The sequence below is a fragment of the Homo sapiens genome, chromosome 12 (assembly GCF_000001405.40).
Source record: "Homo sapiens chromosome 12, GRCh38.p14 Primary Assembly".
Taxonomy (NCBI): domain Eukaryota; kingdom Metazoa; phylum Chordata; class Mammalia; order Primates; family Hominidae; genus Homo; species Homo sapiens.
This window is the reverse complement of record NC_000012.12, coordinates 120217169-120240917: the sequence shown is the minus strand read 5'-3', so window position 1 is coordinate 120240917 and position 23749 is coordinate 120217169. Positions and strand designations below refer to the sequence as shown.

Here is a 23749-nt window from a genome sequence, read left to right as displayed (position 1 = left end):
GAACTGAGCCAGCAGGAAGAGGGTGGATTGTGGGGCCAGGTGCAGGCCACCCTGAGTGGGTGGGCACTGTTATGCCTGACACTCAGGGCCTCTGGAGTCAGTCCTGGGTGGGTTAGTGTCGATGTTCCAATGGCGAATGCTCTGGCAGAGTTAGGAGGCAGAGACTTCAGAAGGGCCATCCCTGGACTCCTTTCTTGGCACTTGCGTCATTGGGAGCACTGTGGGGCTGCGATGCCAGCTTTTGGACTGGACTCCTGGGAGGATCAGCAGTGCCCTTCTTCCTGTTGGCTTGTGCACTGAGCTTCCCACACCACGAATGCAGGGGCCTCCAGATGCATCTGCTTGGTGACCCTTTGAACTTGGGAATGGCTTCAAAGCCAGGGAGAGAGATTGCTGTTTTGGTTGGGTCCTGCAAAGCCTCTCAGCTTTTTAGCCCAGATCTTGTTTACAGTCTGATGGTCTGGTCCCAGTGTCTTAACAGGTGACTCTGGAGCCACTGTGGGAGAGTCAGACTACCTAACTGACACCTGTCAGAGCACCTTCTCTGCAGTTGCTTATGGCTTGCAGTGCTGGGCATGCACTTGCTCTGGTGGGGCAATCAGGGATGTCAGCTTTGTGGGTGGGACAGCTCCTCATCCCCCATCTGTCACCTGTCACCTGGTGAGATAGGCACTAATGATATGCATGGCTGTGTGCTTGTGATGTACCAGGACTGCTTTATGATTGTTATCTTATTTGTTCCTCTAAATGGCTTGAGTGAGGCTTGGGAACCCCACAGTCCCCATTATATAAGGGGCAGTTATTATACCTATTCTATAGATGAGGGAACTGAGCTCAAAGAGGTGTCATGCTAGCAAGTGGCAGAGCTGGACCTGAAACCACGTAGTTCAGCGACAAAACCTGTGCTACATTTTTGTTGCATACTCACTTACCTGCAGAGGCCAGGCAGGTCATGTGAATGGATGAAGTGGGCCAAAAAAAAAAAAAAAAGGGAGCTAGATTTCATGTTGTTCCAAAGAAGGTAGCCAAGCAGACCAGTGTTGCTAGCTAGCTCTTCTGACTGTTCCTGGGAAGCCAGAAATCCTGGCTTTCATGTGAAATCTCTCAATTTATTCAGATTAGCTCAGATTTTTTATTTAATTTAATTTATTATTTATTTATTTATCTGAGACAGAGTCTCGCTCTGTCACCCAGGCTGGAGTGCAGTGGTGTGATCTCAGGTCACTGCAACCTCCGCCTCCCAGGTTCAAGCAATTCCGTTGCCTCACTCAGCCTCCTGAGTAGCTGGGATTACAGGCATGCACCACCACGCCTGGCTAATTTTGTTTTTGTTTTTGAGACGGAGTCTCACTCTGTTGCCCAGGTTGGAGTGCAGTGGCACGATACTGGCTCACTGCAACCTCCGCCTCCTGGGTTCAAGCGATTCTCCTGCCTCAGCCTCCCGAGTAGCTGGGACTACAGGCATGCGCCACCATGCCTGGCTAATTTTTTGTATTTTCAGTAGAGACGGGGTTTCACCATGCTGGCCAGGCTGGTCTCGAACTCCTGACCTGTGATCCACCTGCCTCAGCCTCCCAAAGTGCTGGGATTATAGGCGTGAGCCACCCCGCCTGGCCTAAATTTTTGTATTTTTAGTGGAGACAGGGTCTCACCACATTGGCCAGGCTGGTTTGGAACTCTTGACCTCAGGTGATCCGTTGGCCTCGGGCTCCCAAAGTGCTGGGATTACAGGCGTGATCCACCACACCCAGCAGAAACTTCCACCCTTTAAAAAGGAGAAACCAGTGGCACCAGGAAGGGCAGTAGTGGGACAGGTGCTTGCTCAGCTCCCTGGCTTTTTTGGTGACCATTTCCTGTCTGAACATAAAGATGGGCAGGAGGAGAAGGAGCAGCCCCACCCGACAGTTTGGTTCCCGTCAGAAGTTCCCTAGCTGACCACGAAGCTCCCTGTGTTGCAGTACAGTAGTTAGGGGGCAGAAGCACGGGATTTCTTGTCCTTGGGAAGTTTAGCTTAGGAGCGTCCAAGGACAGCTGTGCCCCCCATACATAGCTAGGCACAGAGCAGGTACTGCCTGAAGGAGGAATGATGGGGTTCACCCTAGCACCTCATGGCAAGACAGCAATCTCTGCAGACACTGCAGAACCTAGCATCCACTGGAGCTAGTGATGTAAATAGTCTACCTGAACAGTCACCCAGTTTCCCCTCAGAGTATTGTTTCTATTAGAAGACATTCTCCACAGCTCAAAATCCAACTTCCAAACAACCTTCTGGAATGCTCCACGTGTGTACATGGGGACTTTCTGTGTGGTGTTTCTGGGCATTGCGGCCACGTACTGCTGTTGCCCTCTGGCTCTGCTGGGCTGGATTTGCGGAGCCCCAGAGTGTCTCCTGCAATAAAATCCAAACCAGGGGCGAGGTGTGTACCCCCTCCCCCATCAATCCCTGGCATAGCCAGCTGGGCATGGTGGAGGGAGGCCAGGCCAGCCAAGCCTGGTTGGAGCCCTGGAACCCTCTCTGCTGCATGAACCCCCGGGCACAGGCACCTCCGTTCAGTTTACCCATGAGGCTTGGCATCTGCTTGGCCTGCTTCCTCAGCTTTGGAGTTAGTGGGCTTCTTGCAGGCTAACTACGACGTGGTCTCATTTGAGTTCTGTTCCCACCCTATCCCTCTCCCCTGCACCTTGATATACCTACACGTGAACTCCACTAGCCAGACTGAAAGCCCAGAGGTCTCCCTGGGTGCTTTTTGTTTCAGGAAAATATCTTCTCTCCTTTTTTTCTATTGTGGTTTCCCAGCGTGACTCTGCAGCTCCATCTGCTTCCTCCCTGTCCAGGAAGAGGCAGATTTCCCCATGCGGAGAGTTGGCAAGGCTCCGGGCCTCCGGAGAAATTGGCCTTGCCCTCTTCAGGACAGTGGCCGGGGCATTCCTCCTTTGTAGCTCAGTGATGCCATCCCACCAGCGCCCTGGGTTGGGTCAGGCCTGCTGCCTATGATTGTGCCTGGGGAGCCTACAAAGCTCAGTGGGGTGGGGGGACTGAGACGAGACTTGGAGCTTCTGTGCATGGGATGGGCCCTCCTGAGACCACTCCTTATTCAGGAGGTGCCAACTCTCTGTGGGGACGCCAGCTGTCAAGGGGCCTCAGCATTTCCTAGAGCCCTGAAATCAGCAGATGGCTTCCAAAATTTGTGTGCCCAAGAAGACCCAGGGCTGGATGAGGTAGACACTTCTAGGGAGGCAAAAGGGTCACTGAGGGTCAGCTCGGGGAGCACTCTGGGGGCAGCTAGCCTGACTCCCCTCCCCCACTTCTTCTCAGCACTCGTGACCATCTATGATAGTGGTTTCAAATGGTGCGCTGCCAGGACATAGCCTTCAGATGACACCAAGGGTGTGTCTGGCATTCTTTGCACTCCTAGCTCTTTCTTTCACTCAAGTAAATGCACTGGAACACATGCGGGTGGGGCTGATGGTCATGGAGTCATCTTGAACCCACTTCAGTTTATTTTCTCCAAAATAAAAGCAATGGCCAGCAGGAGTTCGAGACCAGCCTGGCCAACATGGTGAAACCCTATCTCTACTAAAAATATAAAAATTAGCAGGGCGTGTTGGCACATGCTTGTAATTCCAGCTACTTGGGAGGCTGAGGCACAAGAATTGCTTGACCCCAAGAGGCAGAGGTTGCAGTGAACCGTGATCATGCCACTGTACCCCAGCCTGGGCAATAGAAGTGAGATTCTGTGTGTGTGTGTGTGTGTGTGTGTGTGTGTGTATACACACACACACACACACACGTACATACATAAGCAAGCAAGCAATGACCAGGTGCAGTGGCTCATGCCCGTAATCCTAGCACTGTGAGAGACTGAGGCAGGAGGATCGCTTGAGCCCAGGAGTTCCAGGCTAGCCCTGGCAACATCCTAAGACCCTGTCTACAAAAAATAGAAAACTTAGCCAAGTGTGGTGGCATGCACTGTAGCCCTCATGACTTGGGAGGCTGAGGTGGGAAGATCACTTGAGCCCAGAAGTTTGAGGTTGCAGTGAGCTATGATCACACCACTGCACTCCAGCCTGGGTGACAGAGTGAGACCTTGTCTCAAATAAATAAATAAATAAATACATAAATAAAATTAAAAGATCAGCTGGGGCCAGGCACAGTGGCTCACACCTGTAATGCCAGCACTTTGGGAGGCCAAGGTGGGTGGATCACGAGGTCAGGAGTTCAAGACCAGCCTGGCCAAGATGGTGAAACCTTGTCTCTACTAAAAATACAAAAATTAGCTGGGTGTGGTGGCAGGCACCTGTAATCCTAGCTACTCGGGAGGCTGAGGCAGGGAATTGCTTGAACCCGGGAGGCAGAGGTTGCAGTGAGCTGAGATGGCGCCACTGTACGCCAGCCTGGGCGACAGAGTGAGACTCCGTCTCAAAAAAAAAAAAAAAAAAAGATCATCTGGGCATGGTGGCACACACCTATAGTTCCAGCTATTCATGAGGCTGAGGTGGGATCCCAGGAGGTGGAGATTGCAGTGAGCTGTGATCATGCCACTGTATTCCACCCTCCAGCCTGGGTAACAGAGCAAGACCCTGTCTCAAAAAAAGAAAAAAATCAGTTGCAGATGTCCATACCTTATGATGATTAGCCAAGGACTGGTGACACACCTCATGGCAGATTGCACGTCAGGGTCGAGAGCCAGTGGCTGAGGACAGCTCTATGCTCAGGCTTGTGTTTCCCCAGCGTGTTGTGCCCTCTGCAGCCCTCTTGTGCCCAGACACAGAGTAGTTAAAAACAGCAGTACAGAGGGCAAGACATGGAACTGCCTACTTTTTTGCTCAGTGGGAAAAGTGCTTGGGTGAGACATGTGGCTGTCCATTGAAGGGAACAGCTATGCTGACTGTGGGTTGGAAAATCTAGGCTGGCTGTCTTGCTGGCTGTCCCGTGTTGGCTGGTTTGGTGCCTACAGTGGAGTCCCTTGTCTGCCTGTGTGTCTCTTAATGATTCTGATGTCATCTCTGCGAGGTCAGAGGTTGGTTCCCGGGGCAGGCCCATCTTGCACCCTGAGGTTCAGATGGGACCACAAGCAGCGTAGCACAGGGGGAAAACACTTGTGCGCGTCGACCTTGCACATCAACAAGTTAGACCAGAACATGGAGTGCACCAGCCTTCTCAGAATTCTTGAGCTCTCTGTACCACCACTAGGGGCTCCTCTGTGGCTCAAGACCCCTCCTGAGGCAGAGGGTGAGGAGGAGGCAGAAAGAAAAGAGAACAGGAGACTTGGAGTGGGCAGCAGTAGAGCGGAACCCAGCAGGCCCGCCTTTTTGGATTCCTCTGGGGGCTCTGGGGATGTGTGTTGTGGGAGTGGAGAGTGGTGACGAGCAGAGGACGGACAGCTGCTGAAAGCGATCATTCCTCTCCTTGTGGGGCATCCTGGGAAGAACATGGGTGATCTCTGCAGTCAGGCAGCGCAGTCCTCGTGGGGCCTTATGGGGCGGCTCTGGGTGTCTGCATTCTAATCCCTGGCAACAAATGGGGCTGCAAGGCTGGGCTCCTGGTAGATGCTCAGGAAGGGTTGTTCCACTCCTCACCCCCTCCTGAGCTGCTTTCTAGCCTCGCAGCCCCGTCTTTGGATCCCTTTTTGGCACTCTGCTGGGCTCAGAGCTTCCGTGGCAGGAGCAGAGGCTGCTCTCTCCTGGGTTCCTCTGGGAGCTACCATGGAGCTTGGGCAGTTCCTTCTATTGTTGCGATTCTGGGTTCAAAGCCACAGGCCTCTCAGACAGCTGTGACTTCCCGGCAGGCAGTAGGGATGGGGTGGGGGTGGAGGCGTTGGGGCCCTGCAGCTTCCCTCGCTTGCCTCTGTCCTTGCTAGGCAGTGAGTTGGAGGCGCCTGGGCTCAGCTGATGTTCTCCAAGGAGGACTTGGAATGAACCCGAGACACAAAGGGTGAGGTCAGTGGTTTGCTCAGCAAGAAGGCTGAGTTAGTGACAACCTGTCACAGCTCCCAGGATCCCTGGCTGCAGTCCCTGGCTCCGACTCCTCCCCCTGCTGGCCTTAAGGGAGATGAAAATCAGTGATGTGGATCTATTGACTGAGTGTCTCCTGTGTGTCAGAGTGGGAGGCTTACGTTTATTTTATCCCAGCCACCAGGATGGCTCTCACATTCTTTTTCATCCATTACTCACTGTGCGCTATGAGGTGCCTGAGTAAACTAAAGCCCAGAATTATCTAGTCACTGGTCACCCAGGCTAGTGAGTGGCGGATTTGAACCCATCCTCCTCACTGTTAGATGGCCCATTCCTTCCACTCTACCACACTGCCATGCAGGTGGGATGCCCAGAGGGTGTCCAAAGAACTGTGTGACCATCCTAGCTCCCAACGACAGCAGACCAGCCAAATCTGTGATATGGGCAGGGGTGGTTTTATGTGTGGACAGTGGGGGCTTTGTGGTGCTGCTTAAAATTGTTTGCCAAAGTCCCCAAGAGCAAAATCTTATCTGTTTTTTTTGTTTTGTTTTTTTGAGACAGAGTCTTACTCTGTCGCCCAGGCTGGAGTGCAGTGGCGCAATCTCTGTTCACTGCAACTTCTGCCTCCTGGGTTTAAGCCATTCTCCTGCCTCAGCCTCCCAAGAGGCTGGGATTACAGGCATGCACCACCATGCTCAACTAAATTTTGTATTTTTAGTAGAGTAGAGATGAGGTTTCACCATGTTGGCCAGGCCAACATGGTTTCGAACTCCTGGCCTCAAGCAATCTCCCTGTCTCGGCCTCCCAAAGTGCTGGGATTACAAGCATAAGCCACCATGCAGGCCTTGAAGCCTCTCTTTTTATCTTACGATTTCACTTGCATTTTGCATTTGACTCCATAATGTAGCCTTGTTTGTTTTAAGACAATGATTTACATTTCTTGCCCCTGAGTACATTTGATCCTCAGAGTGTTCTGGGTTTATCCTGAGGTGGCTTCCTGTACCCCTGGCTTCCATCTGTCCCCTGGGGGTATGGATATCCTTGTGCGAGAGGCTCAAACCAGGTGAATGATGATAGAGGTAGTGGTGGGACACATTCAGTATTGTGAAGAAAGGCACGCTGGCAAAAAGGGAAGCGGGGAGTCCAGTTTGGCTGGAGACATGGGTTGCAGTGAGGGGGACCAAGGAGGCAGTGAAGGTTAGTTTGGGGCCATATTCTGAGAGGGTCAAGAACAGAATGCCATCCCCAGGGTTTCTGACCTTGTTTTATAGGCAGAGAGGGCAACAGTGGGTGAGTATTATAACTCCACCCCTTGCTCTGCACACATTCATTCAAGCCCCTCTAAGAGGCCTGTGAGGGCCGGGCACAGTGGCTTATGCTTGTAATCCCAGCACTTTGGAATGCCGAGGTGGGTGGATCACTTGAAGTCAGGAGTTCGAGACAAGCCTGTCCAACAATGTGAAACTTCGACTCTACTAAGAAAATACAAAAATTAGCCAGGTGTGGTGTGTACCTGTAGTTCCAGCTACTTGGGAGACTGAGGCAGGAGGATCATTTGAACCCGGGAGGTGGAGGCTGCAGTGAGCTGAGATCATGCCACTGCACTCCAGCCTGGTTGACAGAGCAAGACTCCATTTCAAAAAAAAAGGAGGCCTATGAGGGTATCCATGCTGTGGGGATTCAGGAGCAGGAGGATGTTCTTGCCCACAGAGGACCTGCAGTCTAGGGGGAGAAGCAAGAGTGAAGTGTGAGGCATGCCCCAAAAAGGCTGGGTGCCAAGAAGTTCGGGCCGATGGTGTGTGCAGGAAGCGTTAGATTGGGAGAACCCAGGGCAGGGGGCTGCAGTCAAGTTCAGGTAGGCACTGAGCATGGATTCGAATGCTAGTCCAAGTGGTTGGCTGTGGTGATGAAAGGAAAGGGAGGCAAGTGATGACAGGGAGAGGCCCCGCGAAGGAAGAATTGATGTGACTTAGTGACCAGCTAAATGTGGGAGCTATTAAAGGGACTTAGAAAAGAGAACTGGGGAAGTCAGGCAAGCGAGAGCTGACTTCGGGAAATGACCTTGCTGCCTGAAAAAAGGGGAAGGTGCTGGCTGGTTAGTGAGAACCTGATTAGCAAAGAGTGGGTAACTAATGCTATGAAATCCACAAAAATCGCAAAAAAACTGCAGCTCATCTCAGGAACAGGCAAACTTTTGAACTTTTTGTTCGGGTCTCTGTGGGACGATGACTCACTTTGAGCCCCTCCTAACCTCTGTTGGTGATTAGCAGGGGTGAGAGGCCCAAGGAGCCGCCCTGCTCTGCAACAGATCAACTTGCCTGGAAGAGCCCAGATTGCAGGAATGGGCTGGGGTCGATTTGGAACAGCTGAGAACCTTTCCAGCCCATGAGTCTCCTGGGTTTGAGGCTGTCTTTTTTGTATGTGAATCTGGGTTTTACCCATTGAAGGAGCTGTGAGTTGGGCCTGGAATGGGGCCCTGGACTTGACCTGAAAAGGTCTAGCATCTCTGGGCGACCTAAAGAGGTGGATGACATCTGACCAATGAAATGTGTCCACAATGTTCTGGGACCTCTGGAGGAGGGAGGGCCCACTGATTCTGGACAGGAGAGATGAGTTATTTACAATATGAAAGAGACTCTGGGGATGGGCATGGTGGCTCCTGTCTGTAATCTCAGCACTTTGGGAAGGCCCAGGCAGGAAGATGGCTTGAGGCCAGGAGTTCAAGACCAGCTTGGGCAACATAGTGAGACCCTGTCTCTACAAAAAAGTTTTTAAAAGCCTAGTGTGGTGGCATGTGCTTTTAGTCCTAGCTACTCGGGAGGCTGAGGCAGGAAGATCCCTTGAGCCCAAGAATTCTAGGCTGCAATGAGCTGTGATCAGGCCTCTAGCCTGAGTGGCAGAACAAGACTTGTCTCAAAAAAAGAAAAAAAGAAGAGAAAGACTCTGGTGTTTGGCCAGCCTGGCCTGAACTCCTGTGTCTGTAGCCTAAGGCAGATGCATAGAAGTGCTCAGAGTCAACCTGGGCAGCCTTGTCTCACCTGCTGTTGCTTAAGCTCCTGGAGCCCAATTTGATGGGGAAGTGGCTGCAGCCAGGAGCCTGATGGGTGGGCCTTGTGTGTGCCTGGTGCAGATGGGCCTGGCACAGTTGGTCTTCTGCCTGGAGCTCAGGGTGACTGCTGGAGTTGCCTTGCAGCCATTATTTTCTCAGGTCTCTGGTTACCTGTGCCCTGTGACCTTGGGCACAAGCCAGGCAGCCAATAAAGCCAGTCTGTCTGCACACTCATATTGTGTCACCCTCTGCAAGGAAGAGCTCCTCAGCATACAGGAAGCCACCCTCCTAAGCTAGGCCTGTAGGAAGCCTGGGGAAGAACCACTTCATCCAAATGACCACCCCCTCCTCCCCTGGCGGCTGACTGGAAGACTCCTGGGCCTTCTCCCCTGGCTTCCTGTGTGTCACCCCCCAGCCCACACTTCCTTCAGGGCTGTAAGGGTAAAATGCAGTTCCTGTTGAGTGAGGCATGAGTCAGCGGAGGAGAATTGGTGGCTGAGTCTTTGTAACCTCCAGGCATGGCTATTAAATATTTAAATGACACTATGGTATTGATCGTTTCTCATCCATCCTCTTAGCAGAGCAGTTCCTGTCTGGGATTCAGATAATAGCAGAATCTTGGATTTAGACTAACTCGGAAGAGCTCAAAGGTGCTATATAAATCTCACCCATAATTGTATTATCTCCTCAGAGCATGCTACTAGGAATGGGGACAAATCGGGTTCTGCCCATTTTCTTGATAGAGAAGACATCCAGAGAGGTTAGAGGATCCGCTGAGGGGCCCCCACTCATCCGCTGGGCCTGGGATCAGGGCATCCTGGCTCCCCTCCTCCGCACTGGCTGTTTGCTCTGCTCACTGCTGCTTCCCCATCCTCCTCCTCTTCACAGCCCCTCTGTCATTCAGCCATTCATTCTAGCTGCTGGGGATATGGCATCGAACAAGACCGACAAGGCCCCTGCTCTCTGGAGCTTAATTCTTGGAGAGGAGACAGTTGACAAGAACCCAAATTGGCAGGGAAGGCCCCTCAAGGAGACTGAGTTCCTAGTCAGTGTCCAGGCCCTAGGTCCCTGGGCTGGGGGTGGGTGGGGCAGAGTGGATCTGGCCTAATTGTGGATTGGCCCTTACTGAGGACAGACGGTTATCAGGATAAATATACCCAGCTCACCATTCCTGGGGACTTACTCACCGAGTGAAAGCACCCCGCTGCGGATTAGATTACCTCTGCTCTAACTGCTCATGTGCTCTGGGCTGGGGGAGGGGAGGGGAACTTGGAGCCAGGGGGAGGGGGGAGACCCGCCTTCCCGTTCTGTTTTCCTTCCTAATCTGGAAGAGTCTCACCAAAGGGGCTGAGATGAGACCATCCCTGAGCTGGTCCTGCTGTTTACATAGCTCCTTCCTTAGGAAGGGCCAAGCCCTGCTCACTGCTTATATCCCTGAGCGTGGGCAACTGTAAGGAGGCCGCAGCTTCTCTGACACTCAGAGCTACCAAGGCTGCCCAGGTGGTCATCAGGGGGTTGGGAACCTCCCTTGTCCAGAGTTCTGGACCCAACAGGATAGACAGGCCATGAGGCTGGGCATCCCCAGACCCCCTAGGACAGGGACTTGTTTCTCTGGGAGTCTGGGTTTCCTATCAGATGGCAGGGATGGACAGCTGGCCCAGGGCTGCGGGGAAGGCCCCTGTGCTATGGCAGCCCGTTGCTGCTGGTGCTGGAGCTTTCAGGGCGGTGCTTGCTGCTCCTTCCTTTGGCTTGTCAGCTCCTAAGGAAGCTGCACTGGCCGCTCCCTGCCTGGGGCAATGAAAGCTGAGTGAAATTGGCCTGCAGAAGAAGGTGGGTGAAGGGGCTGGAAAATACCTTGTTCTTACGTGGGCCTCTCCTGGGCCAGGCCTCGAGAATGCAAGGCGTGCTAAGGTGGGGCGCTGCCTGAGGGCCACAGGACTATACCTCTTCTAGTTCTGCCTGGGGCTGCTGGTGGAGGAGTCCAGAATGGCAAAGGTGGGCAGGGACCACGGGGCCCTGGCGCTGGGGCTGGTGTGGCAGGGCAGCCTGTAAACTCCAAGAAGGGATGGAAAAGCTGGCTCCATGCCCCACATTTACCTGCTTCCTGCTGATCTGGGACTAGAGGGCAGCACCCTTTGCCCTCAGGGATTGGATAGGACGGGGAGGTGATTTCTTTCCCCTCCTAGGGCTTAACACCTCCCTGGGAAGAAGCTTGTAATCTATTTAGCAACTCCCATTTCCTGTGTGCTGTATTCCAGGCACTGTGCTAAGTCAGCACTTTATATCTTTTTCTCATGTAGTCCCAATCCTGTGAGTAAAATGGTGGAATTCCTATTGGGCAGACAAGGAAACTGAGGCACAAAAGCAGTTAAGCAGCCTATCCGAGCAGTTCAGCCATTGAGCAGAGCCCAGGTGACTGAGGATTCACCGTACAAGTTGTAACACTGAAAGTCCTCAGAGCCTGGGAGGAGAGAATGGAATCGCTCTGGGTCCTCCCACCCCCTCAGAGAGATGGACTTTTATCTCCTCTCTCTTGGCACCTGTCCAGCTCCAGGCCTCTGGTCTTGATAGTCTTTATCACACACTAAGAAGTGGCAGGGGCTTAGGTAGGAGGAAGCAGCCTGGCTTGTTTCTGTGCTGCAGTCGGGGGTGGGGGCGGAAGGTTTTAATTGATTCTCTTTAATCTGATATTGAGTGCCATGCGTCAGTGGATCAACCGGGGTCCCCAGAGCCACAGTCTGGGGGACATCCCCCCATTGTAGGTACAAGGGGACCCAGGTTTCCTTCCACCCGGAGCCCCTAGGTGGGTACAGGAATGTGAGGGATGCAGCTGCAGCACTTGCCCTGGAATGCAGGCGAACCGGTCCCCTCCTCCTCGGAGCAGTGGGCTGAGGGTGTCTGTACCTTAACCCTCCAGCGGCTCCCACCGGTTGTAAGGATTACGCTCAGTCAGTTGCTGAGGCCCAGGGAAGGGCTTCTTCCTCTCAGCCTGGCCGTAGTGCACTGTTTCTGCCCAGCCACCTGCCCCAGGGCGGCCTCCCGACCCAAAGCTGCAGCTGTTCCATGCTGTTGCTCCGACCAGGTGCAGCCATGGGGTGCAGATAGGGGCGCACACGGTGCTGCATTTGCACAGGGCCCTGGAAGCGAGGGCGTGCACCCCTCTGGTTCTCCAGAGCCCTGCATGTCACCCTTGGGTTGTGCCTTCAAGTGATACCAGGCTACCTGTGTTCCTCCCACTAGCTTGCTGTGTTCCTCCAGCTCAGCCTTGTTCTCTAAGGATAGAAACTTCCCCACTGCGCCCATGGCCAGGGGCTCCCCAGTCTTCCCCGGCTAGAAAATTGCAAGATTGCACGAGGTTACCCAGTGGCAAGAAGCTGACGGGCCAATGGTGCCCTCTGGTGGGGAGCAGCAGACAGTCTGCACCCCTTCCTCACCAGGGCGGAGCCAGGACATAGCTCCGTGGCCTTTGCCCATGGCTCGCTGGGGACTTTGCACCTAGCCTGCCCTCAGCCTCGAGACAGCCTGGCCTACCTCCTCATGTTGCATACTTCCGCTGGCCCAGAGAGACAGAAAACCTGCAGAATTCAGGGTGGGTTTCCTCCAGAAAGTGGTTGGGAAGCCCCAGAGAGAGAGCTTCCTCCTTCAGGGTGACTTGGGTCTGGAGGGCCCCAGGCCTGGACCTGGAAACTTAGTAGAGTAATGCCAAGGAAATTTGAGGCCTTTCTTAGCTTGAATGAGGTCTCCCGACTACTTCCGAGCAGCGTGTCTGGAATCTGTCCTCCCAGCATGTGGGAAGGGAGGGTGTATTCCTGGTCTTGAATGGTTTCAGTGGGTACCATTTTCTCTGAAGAGTGGATAGCCTGACACCTTCTTTGGGGTATGAGGAGCAGGAATATTTAGAGCAGAGGGAAAGGCTGGAGCCGGACACTGGGGGACCCCGCTGGGATGGGGCTCTGCCTTCAAGTGGACTCCTTCCTGTGTGCAGTGTCTGCCAGCTCTGTTTGCTCAAGCCAGGGGGGACGTTTGCTGAGCTTGCAAGGGGACTCTGACCCTTAACCATTTTGCAGCCTATGGGGAAGTCTCAGGTATTTGCACCCATTGGAAATCAAAGTAAAGCTAGGAGTCTACTGTTGGCTTGCCTCCTGTATTTCTGGTTTTCTTTCTTGAGGAGTTTGTGGGGGGTTTGGAGGCACCAACCCCTACCCCTCTTGCCTAGTCCTTGCCTGTCCAAATCACTAGGTGAGAATGAAGGGTGGAGAGAGAGGAGGAAGCCATACCAGAGACCCTGTGGCTGGTGGATGGACTTGCTGGGGTTTTTCTCTGTCCCTCAAATAGACAAAACTTTGGAGAAAACTGAATAATGATGTGCCTTCTCCCTGACATCTGCACTCTATGATTTGTTCGTTTGTTTTTAAGACAGGGTCTTGCTCTGTCACCCCGGCTAGAGTGCAGTGGTGCAATTGTAGCTCACTGTAGTCTTGACCTCCTGGGCTCAAGCAATCCTCCTGCCTCAGCCTCCTGAGTAATTGGGACTACAGGCGCATATCACCACACCCAGCTAATTTTTAAATTTTTTGTAGAGATGGGGTTTCACTGTGTTGCCCAAGCCGATCTCCAACTCCTGTTCTCAAGTGATCCTCCCACCTCAGCCTCCTGAATAGCTGGGACTATAGGCATGCGCCACCACACCCAGCTAATTTTTAAATTTTTTGTAGAGACAGGCTCTCACTGTTTTGCCCAGGCTGGGACATGCTACAATTTGAATGTTACTTTATTACTTTTCTTTTCTTTTCAAGGTTGCCCTTTTCATGGTTTGCTCATATTCTACCCAGAAAAGACTTAGGAGACTTAGAAGAAGTTAGTACTTTGCATCCTACCTACACTGCTCTCCTTGGAGGAAGACCTTATTCTGGATTTTACAGAGCAAATCAGATCTGATGTTTGTAGCTTCCAATGTGCTATGGAGCTTCCTCCTGCAGAGTGACTTGGGTCTGGAGAGCCTGATATTTGCAACTGATGTCTGCAGCTTCCAGTGTACCTGCTAGCCCTTATAAACCTCACACCAGTACTTTGAGGTCAGAGTTATTCAAGAGCTTACTGAGACAACAGGCCCTGAGAAGCTAAGCGATTTGCCCTGTGGCATGGATGGTAGAGAGGGGAGCTGGCACTTGAACTCAGGTCTGGCTCGACCTCAGAATGAGTGATCTTGTGTCTCTGTGCCCCAGGACTGCATCCTCTCACCAATACTTCACCAGCCTAGGGATCTGTGCTCCCAAGAGCCTGTTGACATTGTAAACCTGAATCCAATCCATAAACCAAAAGCCCAGGCTTAGAATCACATTGTGGTGGAGCGGGTGTTTGGTGGAGTCCCTGATTCAAAATGTTTGACAAGGAAGCCTGACCATTTGTCTTCTGTTGGGTGTTTGGAGTCCAAGAGACCTGAGATCAGAGTCCAGCATTGTCACTTCATCCAGCCTTGGCAGTGTGGGATGTGACTCTGCCTCTGAACCGCAGTTATACCATCTGTGCTGGTGGCGTTGTGAGGATGGCAGGTAACAAAGGTGAAGCTCCTGGCCCCAGTGGGCCTTCAAGGATGGCAGCTGCTCCTGCCCCCTACTGGGGTTGCACTCATTCGTTGCCTGCTCTGGGGAGTCCTATGGGGTTTCTTAGCTGGCCCTGCCCATGGTGGAGAAAGAGGGATCCACCCATTGCTGATTGGGCCCAGAGGAAATGAGGACACTGCGTGAAGCCAAGACAGCAGGTGTGGCCCTGGAGAGGCCGTGGGGATTGGCCTGGACACTGGTTCCTTTTCTGCCGTTACCTAGATACCTACCAACTCCCTCTAGTTCCGGTTTGCTAGAGACAGGAAGCCAGGCCTCCTCCATGGGACCCGGAGGGCGGGGCGGGCTGTAGGACCTGAACTTCCTTGGAGGTCAGGCGACCAGACCCGGGGTCCTGGGCCTTGGAACAGACATCCCCTCTGTCCATCTGGGCAGGAGCATGGGGTAGGTGTGGCCAGCCTTGAGGGTAGGAGATCAGGACAGGCAGCTGGGACAAGGTGTGGCCCCATAGACCGAGGCCCTGGGTGAGGGCCTTGCTTCTCTATTCCCTCCTCTGAACACAGGTTGGGGGACTGGGAGCAAGGCCACAAGGAAGGATCACACTGGCAGGCCTCACAGCTTGGGCCTCCAACATTCAGGAAGTTGAACCCTTTAAGTATGGCATCATCTGGTAGTCATAGTGGCCTCTTACAGGCCAGGTTTTTGGGGTTTGGGGCTTCTGAGGAGTCAGACAATTGTGCCACTCACTGGCTTTGTTATTTGGAGCAAACACCTCTGACCTCTGCCTCTCCAAGCCCGGCTTTCCTCATCGCTTCGGGGAGAATCATTTCCAGCTACAGGGGGTATTAGGGGGATTAACGGAGACCTCGTACATGCTGCTAGAATGCCTAGCAGTCTGCCTGCTACTGATAAGTGGCAATAAACGCAGCCATTGCTTTTTAGATGTTTATTATCCTGAGGGCTAGGGATCAAGCTGTCAGCTCCCTGGACCCAGCAGGTTACCGGGGAGCTGAGAGCAAGCAAGTTGTGAACGGGGCAGGAATGAGGGTGTGGCATCCAGGGCCAGGCTGTCTGAGCCGTGGGGCTGTTGAGGGTCCCAGGAGGGGATGGAGGAAGTGGGGGTCAGCAGGTCCTACTCCTGCCCTTCTATACCCTTCTTTTCTGGAGACTGGGGAGACCTAGTGCCCCCCTGTTGGCTGCCAGGTGCCAGGGTAATGGAAGCTTACACTAGAGGGCTGATTTGGCTCCCTTGCCGCTGTTAAAAGCAGAACAGTGGGGGCCTGGAGCCTCTGGGGCCGGGCTGCTTGCCAGACTTCCGCAGAAACAGCCAATGGAGCAGTCTTGCCCCCTGCTCACTGAGGGGGTGGGGACCGCTGCACCAGCCTCACTCCAGCCCCCACCTCCCCGCACACCTTACCCCATAAGCCTAGAGCCTCAGGAGGAACCTGGAGCCTGGGCTTCTGCTTCCACCTGGTTAGGAGGGCAGGGACCATCCTGAGTGCCCCTTCCAGTCGGGGGCTGGGAAAGCCTAAGCTCTTAGAAATCAAGTGAGGGCCTGGCATAGCCAGGGCCCCTCCCTGTGACGTGGGGCCCCTCCCGCCCATTCTCTCCGCGTTGCCCTGCAGATTCAGAGTTCCAGACAGGCACTTCACTCGCGGCTGCGCGGCCCTGTCAGGAGGGAACGCAGTGCCAGGTGCCTGACTCCCAGAGGTAGGAGATCCCACAGGGCAGCCCCAGAGCCCGCCTCTAGAGCACTTTCAGTCCTGGGTGGCCAGAAGAAGTTAGCTTTGGGAGCCGGCTCTTGGTTAGGCTGGTCGGGGCTGGTGGCTTCCTGTCCCAAGGCTGGTCATTTCTCCCATGGGTGGGGCAGGTGCTAGAAGGCATTAACTCTTGAGGTGCAGGCAGGGAGGGCCCTGCCACGGGAGAGTCCCCAGGATCCCGGTTCTCACCTGCTACCCGTGCCTTCTCTTTGCAGACGCCCTGCTGGCGGACTTGGAGTCTACCACCTCCCACATCTCCAAACGGCCTGTGTTCTTGTCGGAGGAGACCCCCTACTCATACCCAACTGGAAACCACACATACCAGGAGATTGCCGTGCCACCCCCCGTCCCCCCACCCCCGTCCAGCGAGGCCCTCAATGGCACAATCCTTGACCCCTTAGACCAGTGGCAGCCCAGCAGCTCCCGATTCATCCACCAGCAGGTGAGGCGGGGACAGTGGCTGGGAAGGCCAAGGAGGCTGGGGGACAGAGGGAACTTAGCTGGCAGGGGCTTAGGGAGCCAGGGGATGGAATGGAATTGGGGCAGTCGACCCTTCCCAACCAGACACTGCTCTTCCCACTCACCACGTGAGTGGAACAGTGACCAAGTGGTTAATCACAGGTTTCCTGGCCCAACTGTGGAAATTCCCTGGTGAGACTGGCTGTGGGCAGGAGCCTCCTGGGGGTGACTGGAGCTGCTCCTGGCCCCTGTTCCTTTTTCTCCCCTCGGGGTAGCCTCTGAGCATTCTCCTTCTCGCAGCCTCAGTCCTCATCACCTGTGTACGGCTCCAGTGCCAAAACTTCCAGTGTCTCCAACCCTCAGGACAGTGTTGGCTCTCCGTGCTCCCGAGTGGGTGAGGAGGAGCACGTCTACAGGTACTGCCCCAGTCTGCCCAGGGCACCTTCCCTCCTGCTTAGAAATCTCAGGGACCTGGCCAGGGTGGGAGGCAGCGGAGGCCCGGGAGCAGGCATAGCAACTGGGCCTTGTGGGGTTATTCTGGTTTAAGCTGCAGAAGGCCTGTCGGTGGGCCCGTCTACCTCATCAGTGCCATCTCCATGCAGTGGACATTCTGGGCTATCACAGCATCTCCGTGTAGCTGAGGAACTGAAGCAAGACTTCATTCCTCCCCTCTTCTTTTTTTCTTTTTTTTTGAGACGGGGTCTCGCTCTGTCACTCTGTCGCCCAGGCTGGAGTGCAGTCGCGCGATCTCGGCTCACTGCAAGCTCCGCCTCCTGGGTTCACGCCATTCTCCTGCCTCAGCCTCCCAAGTAGCTGGGACTACAGGCACCCACCACCACGCCTGGCTAATTTTTAGTAGAGACGGGGTTTCACCGTGTTAGCCAGGATGGTCTCAATCTCCTGACCTCATGATCTGCCCGCCTCAGCCTCCCAAAGTGCTGGGATTACAGGCGTGAGCCACTGTGCCCGGCCTCCTCCCCTCTTCTTACCACATCCCTTCCCTACCCTCTGTCCTCTTGCGGGGGAAGACTTCGCATCTCCTCTGCCTTGTTCTCCTTGGGAATCTGGGAACTGCCAAGCCAGTACAAGGCCAGAAAGCATCTCTCACTATCTTCTTTCCTTTGCCTCTCAAAGCTTCCCCAACAAGCAGAAATCAGCTGAGCCTTCACCCACCGTAATGAGCACGTCCCTGGGCAGCAACCTTTCTGAACTCGACCGCCTGCTGCTGGAACTGAACGCTGTACAGCATAACCCGCCAGGCTTCCCTGCAGGTAGGACCGGGTCCCTGGGGCAGGGTCTACCAGGGCCCAGGGCCCATCTGCTGACCTCTAGATCCCAGGAGGGCTCAAGGGCTGAGCAGCCTTTTTCTCTCCTCTCTGCAAGATGAGGCCAACTCAAGCCCCCCGCTTCCTGGGGCCCTGAGCCCCCTCTATGGTGTCCCAGAGACTAACAGCCCCTTGGGAGGCAAAGCTGGGCCCCTGACGAAAGAGAAGCCTAAGCGGAATGGGGGCCGGGGCCTGGAGGACGTGCGGCCCAGTGTGGAGAGTCTCTTGGATGAACTGGAGAGCTCCGTGCCCAGCCCCGTGTGAGTACCCACTGGGCCCTCCCCAGGTGGGGAAGGGCTGGCCCAGCCTGCCCCGGGTCCAGTGTCTGTCCCCTTAGCCCTGGTATCACCCACTCCCTCCCGTGTCTGCCATTTGCCAGGCACTGGGGGGATAGTGGTGAGTCACATGGACACCATCCCTGCCTTCAGCCAGTCACTGCCAGTCAGAAAGGACAGACGTTGTGCAGGCTGAGGGCGCCTGGAGCTTAGCAGCTCTTAGCACAGGCTTTGGGGCCACACAGTGGGGTTCACATCTTGGCTCTGACAGTTACTGTCAGCTCTCAAGCCTTAGTTTTCCCATCTGTAAAATGGGACAAGAACTTATGGGATCACTGGGATAAGACCACCTACCTCAGTAAGGGTGAGAACCAGTAATCCATGTAAAGCGCTTGGAATGGTTTCTGGTGTGTAGTGCGTGGCACACATGGTGAGTGCCCAACACGCGAGCTCTTACCAGTGCCGTCGTGTTACTGCAGTAGCCTCACCTCCATGTCCAGTGTTGTGGAGGAAACACAGGGCGCTTGGGCTTGTTTCGCAGGCCAGCTTTCACTTGGGCTGGGGGCTAGAGGAGTCTTCCTGGCACTTCCTGGTGCCATTGAACTGCCCTTTCTTCTGACCCAGTGATGGGTCCCCAGGAGAGACAGGGAGCTGGTGGACCTCCCTGGGGTTGGGGATGGTGAGACCCCAGTGTCCGAGGTGAGAGGTCGATCTGATCCCCGGGAAGTGTGGGGCTGACTGTGGGCTCCCCACTGATGCTGTGCCCACCCTGCAGCCCTGCCATCACTGTGAACCAGGGCGAGATGAGCAGCCCGCAGCGCGTCACCTCCACCCAACAGCAGACACGCATCTCGGCCTCCTCTGCCACCAGGGAGCTGGACGAGCTGATGGCTTCGCTGTCGGATTTCAAGGTGCCCTGTGAACCCTCCATCTTCCCTGCCCTGCCGCCCCTCCCTCATCCTTCTCCTCCCTTACCTCAGTGTGGGTAGCTGGATCTTGGCATCTCAGTGTTTGGGTGCCTTGCCCCTGAGCCAGGGACACTGTCATGCCCTGGCCTTGCTGTGATGCCAGGAGATGGGGAGGGAGGGCCGGGTCAGCCTGCCTGAGGATTGCAGTAGCCAGTGAAGGCAGACAAGCTGGAGAAGTGCTCAGCTGGGACATTCCTTCCTCCCTGGGTGCTCCCAGCCTCTCAGGTCGAGGGGATCAGGAGGCTGGGACGCTGGGACAAAGAACCTTGTGTTGATGGCTGCTCTGGGTGGGGGAGGGCATTCTCTGCTGGGCCATGTGGGACTTGGGAGCCTGTGCCTGGGAGGTCATTTGCCCTGGAGCCCCATCTCCCACGCTAGCTGTCCTCAACACATCCTCTTTCTTTCTGCCTCTGATCCTGAATCCACAAGCCTCCCTTGCTACTCTTCTCCCATCCTTCCCTCTCGCCCTCCAGGGCCTCTGAGTTCCCACGAGCGTGTCTGTGGGAAACCATGGGGCCAGGCTTGCACGAGGTACCTGCCCTTCCCCTCCCCTGCTGGGCCTCCCCAGTCCTGCCAGGCCTGAGATGTTTAATTTAGAGGATTCAGTGTTTCCTTGGGGATTGATATTGACAGAACTCACCAGCAGCTGCTGACTTCATACTTCCACGTGGGTCAGCTGGAGACCTTTGGGGCATGACCTAGGGAATATGAGAGGGGAGTGAACGGTCCCTGCACCCTTGGCCCTGATGGTGTCTCCTAGCCTCCCTTCAGCTGAGGTTTCATGGTGGGAGACAGGAGTGTGGCTGGGGTGGAGGGTTGAGCCTGGCCCTGTGACCCTTGCGTGCTATAGTTCCAGCTCCAGGCCAGTGGTTCTGAGCAGCCATGGTCAGAAGCAAGTAAGTTGGATTCAGGGCCTGGCCTGAGGGAGCTGTGCCCCGGTGCTTTTAAGGCTGCCGTTTTCTCAGACAGCCTGTGTCCTGATGCCAGGAGAAGCAGCAGTGGTTTTAGTCAGATCCCTGGAGCAAGGATGTGGAAGACGTAGAGGACTTGGGGTGTAGGAAAGCTGGGATTGTCCGGAGGGACATGGCCGAGTTGGGCCAGTGTCCGAGGCGGGTTCAGCAGCCCCTGGGGCTGGCTCTCCCTCCATTTGTGCCTGGGGCTGTCTTCCGTAGCCACCTGGCTCCCCATTTGTCCACCTTACCGTGGTCTTTTCTTTCTCATACCCTCCCTGGGTGGCTCCACAGGCACGGCTTGGTGGCTGCTTTCTCTTGCTTGGGTTTGGTGAGGGCTAAGCACGCAAAGCCCAGGGAAGCTTTTTTGGGGTCTGGGTCTCCTTCAAGGGTCAGTCCTGTGCGTCAGCTTTGCAGCCACCTTGGTCAGCCCTAAGGCCGAGCCCACCGCCTGCAAGGTGCAGCCGTCCTCACTCCCCTCATCTCTCTCTCTCCTCTCCCCTCTGCATTTCTCTCTTCTCCAGACCAGCTCCTCCACTGTGGCTCTGAGTGCCCCGGGGCTGTCCAGCTCTGCTCCGTCCTCATACTGCTCCCTTCCTCCTTCTCCTCCTCCCATGCCATCTGTATTTCTGCCACCCACCACTATACCCTCCCCTCGAGGCCAGGGCCACACTCCGGAGTTCCCTTGTACTGAGCAGAGTGGACGAGGCCTTCTACCTCCTGTAGCCCCCAGCTGGCTTGATTTGGCTGGTCTTGGGGTGATGCCTGACACCTTCAACTCAAGGTCTCCCTCTGTGGAGGGTTCTCTGTGGGCAGTGGGCACAGAGAGTCAGGGTCGAGATTGGAGGCACCTGCCGACCATCACAAGTGAGCTCTCTGGGGCTCCCCGCTGCCACACTGTACCCTGTGCTGGGAGCACAGCTCTCCAAGAGCCTGGGGAGCCCCAGGGGCCACCAGCCAGCCCTTCGTGCCCAGAGGAGGCCTTGGCTGCCACATGGGAGCAGCCATGGGCTTCGGAGGTATTCGGGCCTGAGAGAATGCCCCCCTCTGGAGCTGCTCGAAGCTTCCAAGAAGTAACAGAGCCAGCTGTAGTGGCAGTGGACCGGCAGGCCATCTTCCCAGATACCTGGACTCTCACGGAGGAACATGGCCTACAGCAGGAGAGGCCAAGGCCAGAGCCAGGGAGGCTGGGAAGCAGCTCCCCTGCCTCAGTTACCACGGAGCAGCTAGGTGCAAAGATGACCGAGAGGGGAAGTGTGGCCAGGCCAACCCAGGGACCTGAAACCCCAAGGAGCCCAGAGGGCACCACGGAAGCTGCCACCCAGGACGGGAAGGAACAGCCAGAGCTTCCATGTGCCATGGCCATGGGCACACCCAGCACCACGGAGAGGATTTCCACCTCTGGCCAGGCAGGCACCAGCTCGCATGGCTGCTGGGCATGGCCATTGGCGGGTCTGAGTGTGGGCCGCTCCTCGCTAACTGCATGCAGCCTCCCACTCTGCGCATGTCTGCTTGGGCAGAAAATGCTGAGACACTGTGGCCGGACCTGACAGTCAGCACTTGGCAGTGGGCTCTGTGGACCCAGCATTTCTCATAGCGTCAACCCACCTCTTGCCTTGTTGAGGCTTTTTCCTTTCAGATGAGCTGTCCTTGACATTCTGATGTGGTGAAATGGTTAGCAGCATGGACTTTGGAACCAGATAGACCTAGATACAAACCACATGTCTAACACTTGCTACCTCTGTGACCTTGGGCAACCCCCTCCCTCAGCCTCAGTTTTCTCATCTGTAAAGTGGGGAGAATTTCCATCAAGATTGTCCGGAGACCTAAATGAGATAATTCCTGGAAAGTGTTTAGAACACAGCATGTGGTCCCTCAATAGGCCGTGGCTGACAGTACTTTTATTACTTGCTTTTTGCTTAAATTAAAACTTTATGCCGGGCCAGGTGTGGTGGCTCACGCCTGTAATCCCAGCACTTTGGGAGGCCGAGGCGGGCGGATCACCTGAGGTTGGGAGTTCGAGGCCAGCCTGACCAACATGGAGAAACCCCATCTCTACTAAAGATACAAAAAGATTAGCTGGGCATGGTGGCGCATGCCTGTAATCCCAGCTACTCAGGAGGCTGAGGCAGGAGAATCACTTGAACCCAGGACGCAGAGGTTGCGGTGAGCCAAGATCATACCATTGCACTCCAGCCTGGGCAACAAGAGTGAAACTTGGTCTCAAAAAACAAAAACAAAACAACAACAACAACAAAAAACTTTATGCCTCACCCTGGCACAGTAGCTTATACCTGTAATCCTAGCACTTTGGGAGGCTGAGGCAAGAGGATCGCTTGAGCCCAGGAGTTTGAGACCAGCCTAGGCAACACAGTGAAACCCTGTCTCTACAAAAAATTAAAGATTAGCTGGGCGTGGTTGCACATGCCTATAGTCCCAGCTGCTGGGGAGGCTAAAGCAGGAGGATGGCTTTAGCCCAGGAGTTTGAGGCTGCAGTGAGTTGTGATCGCACCACTGCATTCAGCCTGAGCAACAGATCAAGACACTGTCTCAAAAAAAAAAAAAAAAAAAAATCCCCCAAGCTTTATGCCTCTTTGGAAAACAAAACGAAACAACCAAAAACCCCCAAAACACTACCAACAAGTATAATAGCATAATATAATATTAGCATAATAATATAAATAAGAAAAAAAAAACTAGTTAAAAAAGTTCCTGGCTAGCTGAGCACGGTGGCTCACACCTGTATTCCCAGCACTTTGGGAGGCCGAGGCAGGCAGATCACGAGGTCAGGAGTTTGAGACCAGCCGAACCAACATGATGAAACCCCATCTCTACTAAAAAAAAAAACAAAAAACAACAACAACAAAAATTAGCCAGGCGTGGTGGTGCATGCCTTTAATCCCAGCTACTCAGGAGGCTGAGGCAGGAGAATCTCTTGAACCCAGGAGGCGGAGGTTGCAGTGAGACCAGATCGCGCCACTGCATTCCAGCCTGGGCGACAGAGCGAGACTCTGTCCCCCCCCAAAAAAAAGTTCCTGGAAGGAAACACTTTTTCTATTATAAATTAAAAAAAAGAAAAAAGAAAAAGCCGTATGCCTTGTCAAGGGCATGCACTTACATCCTCTGGAATAATTCTTGTGCAAACCCTGTGCGGTAAGCCAAGAAAATCTTGTGGTTCCATTTTAAGGAAGGGGAAGCTGAGGCCCATGGCAATTAAGTGTCTTGCCCAAGGTCAGTGGCCAACTTAGAGGTGAATGCTGGGTCAGAGGTCTCGCTCGCAGCCTGTGCTTCTGGAGCCAGTCCGATCTGCCCCCTCCCCTTGCCTCTACCCACCTCCACCGGTCCAATCTGCCCCCTCCCCGTGCCTCCACCCACCTCCGCTTGGTTCTTTGGTGGTTTTCTTTTGTGCTCCCTCTCCTGAGGCATCTGAGTGTGGCCTGAGCAGCG

General features: G+C 54.6%; 1 protein-coding gene and 1 long non-coding RNA gene across 40 annotated transcripts in view, besides 17 other annotated features; one reads left to right on the top strand and one right to left on the bottom strand.

The window, feature by feature from the left end:
- PXN (paxillin) overlaps positions 1-23749 on the top strand; it is a 55284-nt gene that overhangs the window by 24813 nt on the left and 6722 nt on the right. For 14 of the 38 annotated variants that reach the window (NM_002859.4, NM_001385990.1, NM_001243756.2 and 11 more), the window contains exons 2-6: positions 16541-16767; positions 17085-17200; positions 17919-18055; positions 18168-18369; positions 19160-19295. In NM_002859.4, the coding sequence (NP_002850.2) occupies positions 16541-16767; positions 17085-17200; positions 17919-18055; positions 18168-18369; positions 19160-19295 (818 nt within the window). Of the gene's footprint in view, positions 1-12523; positions 12594-13800; positions 14766-16190; positions 16276-16540; positions 16768-17084; positions 17201-17918; positions 18056-18167; positions 18370-19159; positions 19296-20826; positions 21712-23749 lie in introns of those variants that run through there. The other 24 variants (NM_001385985.1, NM_001385984.1, NM_001385983.1 and 21 more) reach the window with 9 other exon arrangements.
- Positions 1667-2297: an enhancer, noted in NCBI's record as "H3K4me1 hESC enhancer chr12:120676424-120677054 (GRCh37/hg19 assembly coordinates)". NCBI's record gives its function as "activates a minimal SCP1, AML or CMV promoter by ChIP-STARR-seq in primed H9 embryonic stem cells {active_cell/tissue: H9 hESC(primed)}" and the evidence as "EXISTENCE:reporter gene assay evidence [ECO:0000049][PMID:30033119]".
- Positions 6427-6986: an enhancer, noted in NCBI's record as "H3K27ac-H3K4me1 hESC enhancer chr12:120671735-120672294 (GRCh37/hg19 assembly coordinates)". NCBI's record gives its function as "activates a minimal SCP1, AML or CMV promoter by ChIP-STARR-seq in primed H9 embryonic stem cells {active_cell/tissue: H9 hESC(primed)}" and the evidence as "EXISTENCE:reporter gene assay evidence [ECO:0000049][PMID:30033119]".
- Positions 8107-8666: an enhancer, noted in NCBI's record as "NANOG-H3K27ac-H3K4me1 hESC enhancer chr12:120670055-120670614 (GRCh37/hg19 assembly coordinates)". NCBI's record gives its function as "activates a minimal SCP1, AML or CMV promoter by ChIP-STARR-seq in primed H9 embryonic stem cells {active_cell/tissue: H9 hESC(primed)}" and the evidence as "EXISTENCE:reporter gene assay evidence [ECO:0000049][PMID:30033119]".
- Positions 8667-9226: an enhancer, noted in NCBI's record as "NANOG-H3K27ac-H3K4me1 hESC enhancer chr12:120669495-120670054 (GRCh37/hg19 assembly coordinates)". NCBI's record gives its function as "activates a minimal SCP1, AML or CMV promoter by ChIP-STARR-seq in primed H9 embryonic stem cells {active_cell/tissue: H9 hESC(primed)}" and the evidence as "EXISTENCE:reporter gene assay evidence [ECO:0000049][PMID:30033119]".
- Positions 8667-9905: a biological region, named in NCBI's record as "P300/CBP strongly-dependent group 1 enhancer GRCh37_chr12:120668816-120670015".
- Positions 8706-9905: an enhancer, noted in NCBI's record as "P300/CBP strongly-dependent group 1 enhancer chr12:120668816-120670015 (GRCh37/hg19 assembly coordinates)". NCBI's record gives its function as "activates an origin of replication core promoter dependent on BRD2, BRD4, P300/CBP, MED14 and CDK7 cofactors, with strong dependence on P300/CBP, by STARR-seq in HCT116 cells {active_cell/tissue: HCT116}" and the evidence as "EXISTENCE:reporter gene assay evidence [ECO:0000049][PMID:35650434]".
- Positions 10347-10906: an enhancer, noted in NCBI's record as "OCT4-NANOG-H3K27ac-H3K4me1 hESC enhancer chr12:120667815-120668374 (GRCh37/hg19 assembly coordinates)". NCBI's record gives its function as "activates a minimal SCP1, AML or CMV promoter by ChIP-STARR-seq in naive H9 embryonic stem cells {active_cell/tissue: H9 hESC(naive)}" and the evidence as "EXISTENCE:reporter gene assay evidence [ECO:0000049][PMID:30033119]".
- Positions 10347-11466: a biological region, named in NCBI's record as "hESC enhancers GRCh37_chr12:120667255-120667814 and GRCh37_chr12:120667815-120668374".
- Positions 10778-11072: a silencer, noted in NCBI's record as "tiled region #8677; K562 Repressive non-DNase unmatched - State 1:Tss". NCBI's record gives its function as "represses a minimal TATA promoter and a strong SV40 promoter by Sharpr-MPRA in K562 cells {active_cell/tissue: K562}" and the evidence as "EXISTENCE:reporter gene assay evidence [ECO:0000049][PMID:27701403]".
- Positions 10907-11466: an enhancer, noted in NCBI's record as "NANOG-H3K27ac-H3K4me1 hESC enhancer chr12:120667255-120667814 (GRCh37/hg19 assembly coordinates)". NCBI's record gives its function as "activates a minimal SCP1, AML or CMV promoter by ChIP-STARR-seq in naive H9 embryonic stem cells {active_cell/tissue: H9 hESC(naive)}" and the evidence as "EXISTENCE:reporter gene assay evidence [ECO:0000049][PMID:30033119]".
- Positions 12315-12424: a silencer, noted in NCBI's record as "silent region_4944". NCBI's record gives its function as "represses an Ori minimal core promoter by ATAC-STARR-seq in GM12878 lymphoblastoid cells {active_cell/tissue: GM12878}" and the evidence as "EXISTENCE:reporter gene assay evidence [ECO:0000049][PMID:35858748]".
- Positions 12535-12624: an enhancer, noted in NCBI's record as "active region_7136". NCBI's record gives its function as "activates an Ori minimal core promoter by ATAC-STARR-seq in GM12878 lymphoblastoid cells {active_cell/tissue: GM12878}" and the evidence as "EXISTENCE:reporter gene assay evidence [ECO:0000049][PMID:35858748]".
- Positions 13818-14498: an enhancer, noted in NCBI's record as "H3K27ac-H3K4me1 hESC enhancer chr12:120664223-120664903 (GRCh37/hg19 assembly coordinates)". NCBI's record gives its function as "activates a minimal SCP1, AML or CMV promoter by ChIP-STARR-seq in naive H9 embryonic stem cells {active_cell/tissue: H9 hESC(naive)}" and the evidence as "EXISTENCE:reporter gene assay evidence [ECO:0000049][PMID:30033119]".
- Positions 14515-14564: an enhancer, noted in NCBI's record as "active region_7135". NCBI's record gives its function as "activates an Ori minimal core promoter by ATAC-STARR-seq in GM12878 lymphoblastoid cells {active_cell/tissue: GM12878}" and the evidence as "EXISTENCE:reporter gene assay evidence [ECO:0000049][PMID:35858748]".
- Positions 15182-15863: an enhancer, noted in NCBI's record as "NANOG-H3K27ac-H3K4me1 hESC enhancer chr12:120662858-120663539 (GRCh37/hg19 assembly coordinates)". NCBI's record gives its function as "activates a minimal SCP1, AML or CMV promoter by ChIP-STARR-seq in primed H9 embryonic stem cells {active_cell/tissue: H9 hESC(primed)}" and the evidence as "EXISTENCE:reporter gene assay evidence [ECO:0000049][PMID:30033119]".
- Positions 15378-15672: a silencer, noted in NCBI's record as "tiled region #4390; HepG2 Repressive non-DNase unmatched - State 10:DNaseD". NCBI's record gives its function as "represses a minimal TATA promoter and a strong SV40 promoter by Sharpr-MPRA in HepG2 cells {active_cell/tissue: HepG2}" and the evidence as "EXISTENCE:reporter gene assay evidence [ECO:0000049][PMID:27701403]".
- LOC124903034 (uncharacterized) lies at positions 15497-20827 on the bottom strand. 2 transcript variants are annotated; one of them, XR_007063487.1, is made up of 3 exons: positions 19993-20827; positions 16515-19603; positions 15497-16438 (listed from the first exon to the last, which is right to left on the bottom strand). It is a non-coding gene; the product is annotated as an uncharacterized LOC124903034 (long non-coding RNA). The 2 variants fall into 2 exon arrangements; XR_007063486.1 differs by having other exon boundaries at positions 15497-19603.
- Positions 15981-16030: a silencer, noted in NCBI's record as "silent region_4943". NCBI's record gives its function as "represses an Ori minimal core promoter by ATAC-STARR-seq in GM12878 lymphoblastoid cells {active_cell/tissue: GM12878}" and the evidence as "EXISTENCE:reporter gene assay evidence [ECO:0000049][PMID:35858748]".